The sequence below is a fragment of the Homo sapiens genome, chromosome 1, assembly GCF_000001405.40.
Source record: "Homo sapiens chromosome 1, GRCh38.p14 Primary Assembly".
NCBI lineage: Eukaryota > Metazoa > Chordata > Mammalia > Primates > Hominidae > Homo > Homo sapiens.
This window is the reverse complement of record NC_000001.11, coordinates 222,027,919-222,040,556: the sequence shown is the minus strand read 5'-3', so window position 1 is coordinate 222,040,556 and position 12,638 is coordinate 222,027,919.

Below are 12,638 nucleotides of genomic sequence, written 5' to 3'. Positions count from 1 at the left end.
TTTACAGCAGCTGAGGCAGCTCAGGGCCACTTTCTCTCCGAGGGGCTCTGGTTACACTCAGGCTGAAAGGCTTGGATATCGAGTGTTGAGACCACCCCACAGCTCGCCAGCTTGCTGCCCTCTGGCATGATGGCTCCTTTCAGAATCAAGCTCCCCAGGTTTTGGCAAGCCTATGGCTACAGAAATAACAAATGATCTCCCAGCTTGGCAGTGGGAGGGTTCTGGCATGCCTGTAACCTCAGACACAGAATATGGCACCCAATAGCGTGCGGAAATGGTGATACAAGGCTCGTAACAGATGTGAGAAACTTCAAGATTTCAATAATTCAGGGCTTTGGAGGGGATATGATTTTCTTGGACAGAAAAGTGCCGTATTAAATGCACCACCCACAGTACTTTAAACGCACATACACACTCTCACACCACATGGAACACATCCGCGTGTGTGCCCATTGCCAGGGCTTCTGCTCCCTTGCTTAAGGTAGACCTGACATCAGCAGCAGATGGTCATTATCAAGTTTCTTATCTCATCCTTGTTGCCCCAAAACATAATTTCTCCTGCCCTTGGGGCTGTGCTAATGAGGCTGATGTTACAGGCTGGATTCTGTGGATACTCTAGTTGATTTCACTCTCTTTCCTGATCATGAATGTTGTTTGCTTCCTTGTTCTTCTGGTTCATCTGTTTATTTACATTCAGCTTCCACCAAATACAGATTTGGGGTGAGGTCAGAGATTCCATTCTATTTGCTGATTTATAAATTAATTTCTTTCTTTCGTTCTTTCTTTCTTTCTTTCTTTCTTTCTTTCTTTCTTTCTTTCTTTCTCTCTCTCTCTTTCTTTCTTCTTTCTTTCGTGTGTGTGTGTGTGTGTGTGTGTGTTTGTTAGCTTGTTTTTGATACAGGGTCTCACTCTGTCACCCAGGCTGGAGTGCAGTGGTGCAAACATGGCTCACTGCAGCTTCTGCCTCCTGGGCTCAAGCAACCCTCCTATCTCAGTCTCCTGAGTAGCTAGGACTACAGGTACATGCCACTATGCCTTGCTAATTTTTGTCTTTGTTGTTGTTGTTGTTGTTGTTTTGCCATGTTGCCCAGGCTGGTCTCGAACTCCTGGGCTCAAGCAATCCACCCACCTTGGCCTCCCACAGTGCTGGCCTTACAGGCGTGAGCCACTGTGCCTGGCCACAAATATCATCTTTCTTTAAGTGTAAACATGGTCCAGTACAAGCTAGTCCACTACAGGGAGAAGTGCCCAGACCCAAGTCTTTGTCGTTGATGCTAGCAGGGTTATTTTGGGGAGGTTAGCAGCAGAGACTGAACTAATCCTAATTCTGTGTATGCAGTCTCAGGCCAAAGGACAATACTGAGGACAGACTCTGTGACCTTTGTCATGCACAGGGCACGTGACCACACTTACAGTGCCTTGTTCAGAGGCAGGCAAGAGCCATTTTAAATTTTTGTTGTAACTTGAGTAAATGTAAAAAATTATTGTTATCATTATTATTTTGCTGTGCTAAGAGAATTGGGTAGTCCTTCTTGGAACTGAAGTGACCGACCACATATTTGGAAATGTGTGACTATTTGCTTCATCTTTCATTCCTAGGCTAAAATAGACTGTCTTCCCTTCCCTACCTAATTAGAGAAGTCATTCCCTAGTCACTGAATCCTTGACTTTAAAGGCAGCAGAGCATTTTTAGATGATCAAGTACATCTTCACCAATTTTATAATTGAGATCAAAACCCTGGTTGGAGAAATGACTTACTCAACATCTCCTGAGATTCAGTTCAGATTTGGAGATACTTAAAGACACAAGTTAACATTTCTTGAACCTTTCCTTTCAATTCCATCAAATAAGACCTGCCCTATATAGACTTTCAGTAGTTTATCTCTAGTGGTTTTTTTTTTTTTGTACCCCTTTCCTCCCTGGACAGCTCACTGAGTATACTCTACTCTCTTTCTTTCTCAACAGGCCCTTATCTAAAACAGTTATTAGGAAAGGACCAGACAAATGTACTCACATTCTGGCACAAATGACTGATCATAGTTGCTTCCTAATTTGTGTGTCTCATGGGGATTAGATTGTACTGAAAAGTGTTAAAATCTAGTGACAGAATTCACGGCAGCCTCAGGCCAATGGTAGGCATTTTGGGGAGGCGGTGGCTAAAATTACACCATGGCTTGGAAATTAGAAGGTCTGACTTAGACCTGTTGAAGACTTGTGGGATGCAAGATCTGGTAGAGGCCGTTAACTCGTGCAGTTTGCTAATAGGTGAGGAAAGTGAAATCCAGGGGAAGGAAACTGAAGTTTTCCCATGGGCAAGCAGCTGGTTAGTTAAGGGCAGGGCAGAGATGGGTCTCTAGGATTTACATTTAAAAAGTGGGCTTAACAAAATGATTTACCATTTGGCTGTTCATTTATTCATTCTTTTAAGAAATATATTTTTGTATGCCTACTCTATGTCCAGCAGGGTTTGGCATTAAATGATGAACAAAGAGACACTGGTCATGCCCTGTTGGGGCTTATAATCAATGGGGTGGTGACACAGAGGAAGAAAGACACACTCACCAGAAATAGATAATTACAAATTGTGATAAGCCCCTGTCTTGCTGAACTTATCACCAACATTTGACACAGTTGATTAGTCCCTCCCTCTTGAGATGCTTTATTTAGCTCTTGTGACACCACTCTCTTGATTTTCCTCCCACAGAGCAGGCTTCTCCTTGTCCTGCTTTTTAGCTGTTTCATTCTCATATCCTTAGCTTCTAAATATTGGAATGCCCCAGAAGCCACCCCAGTCTTCTCCTGTGAACTCCTAATTTGTATATCAAGCTGTATACTTGACTTCTCTACTAGGCTGTCTAACAGATACATGTTACATAACACATTCAGAATCACACTCCTCTTTTCCCATTCTCATCTCCAACCTTCTCCTCCCCCAGCCTGTTCATCTTAGGAAATATAAATGTACTCTTTCAGTGACTCATATCAAAATCTTGGAGTCATCTTTGATTATTTTCTTTCTCTGATACTCCATTTCCAGTACATATCTATAAGTCCTGTAGCTCTTACCTTCAAAATAGATCCAGAACACAACCATTTGTCAACCACTTTATAACCTCTATCACTCTGGTCCAAGATATCATCACTTCTCACCAGGAGTATTGGAAAAACCTGACTAATCTTCCTCTATTTGCACCAGCCTGAGTGGCCCCTTCCAAATGTTAGTTGGATTATTTTGCTGAAAACACTCATCTCACTCAGAATAGAAGCTCAAGTCCTGGCAGTGGCTGGCAAGACCCTACGAGACCCAGACCCCTGCCATCTGTTTCCAACTCCCATCACTCCCTCCCTCCCTCACTGGTCTTCCCGCTTTTCCTCAACCCTGTGGAGTCCACTTAGGCTCAGGGTCTTCTCGCTCACTGCTTCTTCCACAAACGCCCACACAGCTTGTTCCCACTCTCCCTGAAGGTCTCTGCTCATCCATTATGCTCTCAGTGTGGCCTTTTGAGTCCTCCCGTGAAATGACATTCCACCCAGGAATGCCCATCTCGCCTCGCTTTATTTGCTTTATTTTTCTTAGCACATTTCATCATGTAACATTGTCTGTATTTATTGGTTTGTTTCTTCCTTGTCTGCCTTACTCCCAGCCAGAATGTAGACTCCAGATACGCAGGAATTTTTGTCTGCTTCCTTCTCCTTGTGCCTAGAACAGTGCTCAGTAAATATTTGTTAAATGAATGAATGAACTGAAGCTGAGATCTGAAAAGTCTCAGTTAAAAGGCTAGTGGGAGCTGTCTGTAGAGAACCACCCCAGCAGAAATTACTATAGGTATAAAGAAAATAAGGGATAAAGCTGGGCCCTGAGAACCTAAAAAGAAGGGAGACAAATGGCCTGAAAGGAAGCAGAAGTTGGCAGAGACCGGCTTGTGCGGAATCTTGGAGCCATGATGGGGACTTTGGGTTTGAGCCTGGGTGAGAAGGAAGGCTATAGACAGGCTTTAAGCAGGGAGTCCTTTTAATGTGGAAGTTCCCATAGGTGCAACATCACAGTTCTTGACCTCAAGAAAATCAATGTCTATGAGGGGAGCCCACACAAACACACAGTTAACAGCATGAAGTGCCTGGCTGACCTGGGAATATATCCCTCTTCCTTGAGGGCGAGGAGAGGAATCAGAAATATTTTCTAGAGGTTTTAATATTTTCAAAGACATTATGTAAGAAAACAGTTTTAGGCTCATTGCAAAATTGTGAAGGTGGTTCAGAGAATTCTCATATACCTGCTTCCCCTACACATGCACAGTTCCCCTATTATCAACATCCTCCATGAGAATGGTGCATTTGTTACAAGTGATGAACCTACATTGATTCATCATTATTACCCAAAGTCCATAGCTTACACTGGGGTTCACGCTTGGTGTTGTACTATTTGGTGGGTTTAGACAAATGTATAATGGCATGTGTCTACCTTTATAGTATCATACAGAGTAGTTTCACTGTCCTAAGATTCCTCTGTGCTCTGCCTATTCATCCCTCCCTCCCCTATTGGCTGCCACTTATCTTTTACTGTCCCCGTAGTTTTCCCTTTTTGAGATTGTCATATAGGTGGACTCACATAATATATAATCCGTTTAGATTGACTTCTTTCATTTAGTAATATGCACTTAAATTTTCTCCATGTCTTTTCATGGCTTGAGAGCTCATTTCCTTTTAGCACTGAATAATATTCCATTTTTCTCCTATACCACAATTTATTTACTTATTCACCTGCAGAAATGGCATCTTAGTTGCTTCCAAGTTTTGTCAGTTATGAATAAAACTGTTATAAGCATCCATGTGCAGGTCCAACTTATGGGTGAATATAAGTTTTCATCTCCTTGGGGTAAATACTAAGGAGCATTATTGCTGGATCGTACAGTAAGAGTATGTAGTTTTGTAAGAAACTGACAAATTGTCTTCCAAAGTAGCTGTAGCATTTTGCATTCCCACCAGCAATAAATTAGAGTTCCTGTTGCTCCACATCCTTGTCAGCATTTGGTGTTGTCAGTGTTCTGGATTCTGGCCATTCTAATAGGTATGTAATGGTGTCTCAGTGATGTTTTAGTTTGCATTTCTCCAGTGACTTATGATGTTGAGCATCTTTTCATATCCTTGTTTGTCATCTTAATATCGTCTTTGGTGAGGTGTCTGTTCAGGTCTTTGATTCATTTTGTAATCATTTTTTTTTGTTTTCTTATTGTTGATTTCTTTGCATATTTTGGAAAATAGTCCTTTATCAGATATGTCATTTGCAAATATTTTCTCCTAATCTATGATTTCTCTTTTCATTCTGAGATTTTAATTTCCTGACCTGAATCTGTAAGGAGAAATAGATCAGGCGTGTGGTGCACGAGACAGAGAGAAAGCCAGAGAGAACCGTATGTGCAACAGTGCAAGCGTCTGCCATCTCAGAGAGTGGTGTGAGGCTTGAACTGCTAAATAAAAATGTGCTTTTCAAGGTTGAACCTAAGTCTGGCTGACTCCCAAGTCCATGTCTTTTCACTACACCATGCTGAGAAGTGGTTTTGAGGCCAAGTGGAAGGAGGCAGCTGGGGTAGGCTGGAGGACTTTCAGAGATCACAGGCTTGCTGGCTCCTGTCAGAACAGGAAAAGAGCATCCATGCTGACAGCTACATTTCACAGAAGAAGGAAATATGGCCCAGGGAGAGGAAACCACTTGTTCAAGATCACACAGCTTGTGAGAGGCAGGCTCCTCATCCAGTTTTGCAGGGGTGGTGTAAAAAAGCAAAAGAAAATGTCATTTTACATTGAACTGAATTGAGAAAATACTCATGAACTTCTTAGGGATGGAAAACATTTTGCAGTTAGTACCTATTTTTCCTACATTGTGTGTGTGTGTGTGAGTGCCCACACACATATCATACTTTTCCAAAGGAACTCATAAATGCCTCATCTTAGTTCTGCTTCTCTGGTTTGATCAATAAGAATTTTAAAGCAATTAATGCTTAATTCTCCTAACAACTAGTTTTTATTTTATCCAAAGTAAAACTTCCAAAAAAAATCTGTTTTATTAATAATAGAAATCATAGCAATAATATTAATCACTGTTACTATATGACAGCAGAAACCTGTCATCTTTTTATGCCCAATCCAAATGGCAACTGGAATAGAGTTAACATGAGTACTAGCACCACCCTAAATTCCCTGGTAGGTGGAATTTACTCTCCCCTGCAACCTCCACCACAGTTAAGTTGTGCTTACTGGCAGTCTGCAGTGCAATTTGGGAAACTTCTGTCAGCTATATACATTTTAAATACAATTCAGGCAATGCATAGACATAGCCAAAGTGGAGCTTGAAGTCAGCTGAAAGAAGTCTGAAGGAGGGGCTCTTCCATTAGGAATAGGCCTGTTTTGACCACCACAGAAATATACCTCTTCGGTCCTAGAGCTGAAAAGAATATTAAAGTTTCAATTAGACCATTCTGCGACTTCAGAGAGAACCATACTCAAGCCAACCCAAGCAAAATCCATCCTGATATTCTAGATCAAAGATCAACAAATATTTTCTGTAAAGCACCAGATAGTAAGTATTTTAGGCTTTCTGAGCCATAGGGTCTCTGTCATAACTACTCAATTCTATCCTTGTAGAAGAAAGCAGGCATAGACATTAGGCAAATGAATGGGCATGACAGTTTTCCAGTAAAACTTTATTTACAAAAACAGGTAGTAGGGCTGAATTTCACTTACAGGCAGTGGTTTGCCAACTCATGTTCTAAATCTCTAGAAGAGAAATTGCCTAAGCTTCTCTAGGAAGTGTTCAGCTTTTATGGCTGGACATTCTTCACTATGTCTAATTCATATCCCTTTGCATATCCTTTTGTATAATACAGATCCTTCTACTATAACCCGGGGAGATGGAGAACATCTGTTTGGGGCATCCTTTTGTTGGAACGACTAACTCTGCCGTAAGGAAAAGGATGAAAGATTAGCATAAAGTTTGCTAATCAGAGGACAGGCATTCATATCCTGGCTTCACTACTTGTTGTGTGATCTTAGACAAGTTGCTAAACCATTCTCTCTGCCTTAGATTTTTCATCTGCAAAATGGTTCTACTCATGATACTAAAATCATGGTGCCATTGTGAGCATTAAGTGAGATGATGCATTGCAAAGCACTTTAACCTAGTTCTTTAATAAATGTGAGATGGAAAGAAAAGGAGAAGTAGAGAAAGATAAAAAGTTAGATTACTCTGACATTGAAAAATGCAATTATTTGAGAACAGATAAAGTGGGAGACCCTATTTGGAGATTTTAGCAAAGAGAGCAAAGATAGTCATACATGTTGGGTTGAATAATAATGTATCTATCACACTATCTTTCACTACGTGTCATAGTCTATATCATTCTAAAATTATCTTGCCCATTTGTTACTTCCTTATTGCCTGTCTTTCTCCACTAGAATGTAAAATCCTAGAGGGATGGGCCGTATCTGTGTCATTCATTACTATACCCCCAGTACCTAGAAGAATCTTTGGCACATAGTAAGTATTCAATAAATAATTGTTCAATGGAAGAAAAAATGAATGGGAAGATTGTCTCTTCTGTGCAGTACCCAGCTTCAAGAAGAATCCAGTATAGTGACAAAGGAACCTGCTTCCAGTCAGCCATCATCATCAGAATGGATATCACCCTGATGGCAGACATCACCACCAGACCCTTGTTGTGTGGCTTCTGGACTTACCAAGGATTTCTGACAACTGTTACACTGAATTTTATCCCAGCTCCCTTATTTTTTGACTCAGTCCCTACTCCCAGATGCATAAAAGGAGGATAAAAAGTAGATCTTCTTTACAAGAACAAGTGGTGGCTTGTTAAATATAAAAAAACAACAAGGCATCACCTTTGTGAAATCCCCATATCCACCTAAGGGCTGGATGGAAAAACAGACAAACACCTATTTCTTTCTCTGCGGTTCATGGCTTCTCTGTGTTTCCCAGACTTCTGTTTGTATCCCATTGGAGGATAATGGTCCAAAGGGAATCATGTTATTCATCTAATCTGGCCATAACCCTGTATCTACCAGCAGTGTATATTACTCATGAAATACTCCCTAAACTACCTTTGTTACTTTCTTTGCTCTGTCTTCTTCCCTCTCTTCATTCCATTTTTAATGCATATTTATTGAGCAAATGATTATATACATAGCATAGTTCTAGGCATTTATCCTTCTTTAATAGGAAAAGAACAGTTATTATCTATAAGGCAATTTGAGAACATGTGTAAAGCAGCCCATCAGTAGTATAAACACTGAGAAGATGAAAAAATGACAAATGTGGAGGGGGAGGCCACAGACAGTGTGGTCAATTTCAGATGGGTTTCTAGCCAGTTCTTGGGAGGATGCCTTAGAAATCATTTAGTGAGAGAAGGAGGTAAGTGGGAGAAGAAGGGTGGGAGGTTAGATGAGAGGCAGCTACCAAAGTACACACAATGCAAATTGAACTCAGAGAGAAGAATAACATTCCAAAAATGTTTATTAAGTAGGGACTCTGTCTGTCAACACCATCCCAGGGCTCTAAAATAAATTAGGAGACCTGATTCCTTTCCTTAAATTGCTGATAATATGGTGTGGGTAGTTAAGCACACTTTTGCTAACAAACTGGAAACTCCACATGTTCTCCACAGTACATTTAACAAAAATGTTAGAAAGTCGTAAGATTTCTCCAGTGAACCATCATCTCCAAATTACTGACTTGAATTGCTTAAATACTAGTTTCTAATTTTGACACCTCAGCACCAGGCTTCTGATGCACAGTATTTTTCTTTAACGTGGATGGCTAATAGCAAGAGAGGGGTTGAAGGGGTTAACCTACTTCCAGCAACCCCATTAGTGAACTTGAAAAATGACAGTAGAGGATATTTTGGTTTTAGTTTATGGAGACGGTTTCCATAATGGCTTCCTAAATGCCACTCCCAGTATGTGGCCTCAGATGCATCCAGACAACTAATGAAAGGACTTGATGAGACATAAGACCTGTCACACAGCTCTTAGCATCACTCTGAGCTGGGCTATCTCCAAGCCCAGCTGCAGAGCTTGTCTGCTCAGCTTTTGGACCCCCTGCATGTGTCTAATCTTGAGCAAGATATATTTATCTCAATTGCTAAGAGATCTGGCACAGAGACAGAGCAAAGACCCAACATGTAGAGTTCAAGTGTTAATCCAAAGAGGTCAACTTTCTCACCCATACATTCTTAGAACTGCAGAGACATGTGTCCTTTTCCTTCCATCAGGCTGAGGTTTTTCACAAGTACATCAATTTGAAATTAGTAATATAGAATAAGTGAAACAATAAAAATAACTTTTTTTTTCTTTGACCAGATTCCGAGAGGTGGTGGTGGTAGTGGGGACAGAATAACATTTAATAAGGGCCTACTCCTCTCTGCCAGGGTATTACGCATACTATCAAACTAATTTCTCAAAGCATATATTTCAAAACAAAAAAGAAGAAAGCCCCTTCATTTTTATGTAAGAAAACAGAATCAGAAAGACTACCTTGACCAAGATCACAGCTAAAAAGAGGCAATAGAAGTATCTGAAATCTTTATAAGGGAGTATGAATTCTCAAAATAAGAGAGAATATTTATAAAGAGAATAGTATGTTTTCTCTGTATAAAATTCAATCTTTTCCCACTATATCACTCTGCTTTTCATCCATATTATCGAGTTATCATTAGAACAGATATAACACTTATTTTACATTGTGCTTAACAGGTTGATTTTCCTGATTTACTAACATTCAAGGTAATTTAAATATTATTCAAATTCTTTCAGATAATAGCAAAACAGGACACACTCCTCAACTCATTTTATAATTCCTGAACCAGACAATGATCATACAAAAAAGAGAAGTTACCATACAATCTAAATCATGTAGATGTAGAAATTCTTGACAAAGTATTTTAGCAAATGATGTATAATATAAGAAAATAATGTAACAAATAGCATAATTTATTATCTTATTGAATTATTCCAAAGAAAGCAAGTTTGCTCTAATATTAAGACTGTATGCTCATCTTATTAGATGAAGAAAATGCATTCAATAAAATTTAACATCCATTCATGAAAAGAAACTCTTAGCAAACTAAAAAGAAAAGGACAATTATTTTATCTCATGAAAGATAACCAACCAAAAACCTTCTGCAAACACATACTTGTGGGTTAAATATTGGAAGCATTTCCCTTAAAATCAGAAACAAGACAAGGATGCTTATGGAACAAAACTGTCATTAGTTGATAATAATATTTTTGTCCTACAAAAAATAGCCTCAGATGATCTAAAGACAAATTATTAGAATTAATAAAGGAGTGTAGCAGAGTTGCTGAATTTAAACTTAGTATTTTAAAAATTGAATTTGTAAATGCCATCAATAAGCATTTAGAAAATGCAATGATAAAATAAAGATACCATTCACATTGAAAAGCAAATAACCAAGAATAGCCAAAAAACACTCTTGGAAAGAACAGGGTGGAAAAACATGCCCTATGTGATATTTTTAAAGCCATGCTAATTAAGTCAGTGTACCTGCTGTACAGAGAGAAAAATAGACTGCTAGGCTAAAGAACTGGGAAACCTACCCCTGCATATATGAAACGTGGTATAAGATAGAGTCTGCACATTCGAGGAGAAATGGACCATGGTGATGGGACAATTGATTAACCCTATCAAAGAAATGAAATTAGATGCCTACCTCACACCATACATAAAAAAAAGTTCCACGATGACTAAGACTTAAGTGTAAGATGCTTAAATATTTAGAGGTGTAGAGGCAGAAAAGGTGAAAGACAGGTTAATAAGAGAAAAACATAACAAAATTATTTATTCAAAGTTTTATGTGACACGAGCCTTCAGAATTGAAGACCCAAAGACTTAGGGAAAACTGTTTTTATGCTTAGGTTGAATGAAGAATGGACAGCTATGTAGACATCTGAACAAAAAAATATGATCTAATCTTAATAAACTGGGGGTGGGGACCCAGCAAAGCCTGTCTGTACTGATTCTTCTTGGTCTCTCTGTGCAGCATTCCTTCTTTCTGGATATGGGGCAGGAGAAGACAGAACTGGCTACAGTGTTCACATTAGTTTCCAGGGCCATTTATACTTCCTTACACCCTTCCCTAGGAAGAGTGAGGTGTAAGTGAGGCCTGCATATCACAAATGGTATAAGAGATTGTAAGATTTAGTTTGCAATGATGTGAAAATGAATTTTTATTTTACTAGTCTTGTTTTACTTCAATTTATTTTAGAAAAAATAGTAGTAGTATATCAAACTACTGATTCACAATAATGATCTAAATTTCTTTAAAAATCTTAGGAAATTTTGCCATTGTTCCAAAAGCTGTGGCTTTCAGGAGATAGCTAAAGATGGGGACAAAGTTTTATCCATGTTTCCATCTCTAGAGCAAGAGTGGCAAATTCAAATGCCCAAAGGGAGCAGACAAATCACTTTGGGAAGTGAGGTGGTGGGGGGAAGGACTGGACAACCTGCCCAGCCTGTGCCCTGTCTGCATGAGGTAGAGCTATTCATCTCAAGCTGGGAGTGACCCTTGGACAATTCAAGACTGGTGCCAACCAGATGAATCTCTTCCCAGAAAAGTTAAAACTCAGATTTTATGTGAAACCTCACAGTTTTGAAACACTGGCAATGAATGCAAATATTTAAATGTAAACACTGCAGGTCTGCTGACCCATGTCCGCAAGCTGCTGAGGCCTGTGGCCCACGCATTTGCAGTTGCACTGTAGGGCACCCTGCACTTCATTGTGGACACCTCATAAGTCTTTGCTGAGACAATGAATGATGTCTTCTTAATCTCTCTGCCAATATCTGAGGAGACAGTCTGGGAAATTCATTAAAAAATGGCTGCAAATTCTTTTTTGTTCTTTCCGTAGAGAGACAGGGCCTATGTCCTCTCCCTTGTACTAGGTAAGCTCTGACTGCTTGACCAATTGACTGCGGCGGAAGTGACACTGTGCTGCCTAAAGAGAATGGAAGCTTCCACTTCCTGTCTTTTAGAATACTTGTTGTGAGGGGAACTAGTTCCGTGAAAAGTCCAACTTCCCTGACAATGCCTTCCTGGAAAGACCAGGTGCAGGTGCTCTAACTGGTAATCTCAGCTTAGCTCAGCCTCCCGGCCACCCCTGCCAAGGTGCCAGACATATGAATGATGCTGCCTTCGACTATCCAGAACAGCCCATCTGCCAGCTGAGGACTGCCATATGCACTTCATGCCTTGAAGAACAAAAGAATTGCCCAGCTGAGCTCTGTGTGAATTCCTGACTCACACAATTGTGAGGTATAATAAACCATTTGTTGTATTAAATGAGTGTTGAGGGGTTTGTTATGCATTCATAGATAACTAAATACTCTAAACTTCTTCATTTACCTTCTAATTTATCTAACTATGAATCACTATCAGCTGATGAACTTCATTATGGTTTGCTTTGAAGAAGGAAACAGAAGATGTCTTATAAATTCCATATGCATTATCTGCAGGAAAAAGTGATCTGGATAAATGTGGAAGAAAAAAACTGTCACCAAAGGGTACAATGTTTGAGGCTGAATTGAGAAACCAAAGCCCAAACCTTATAT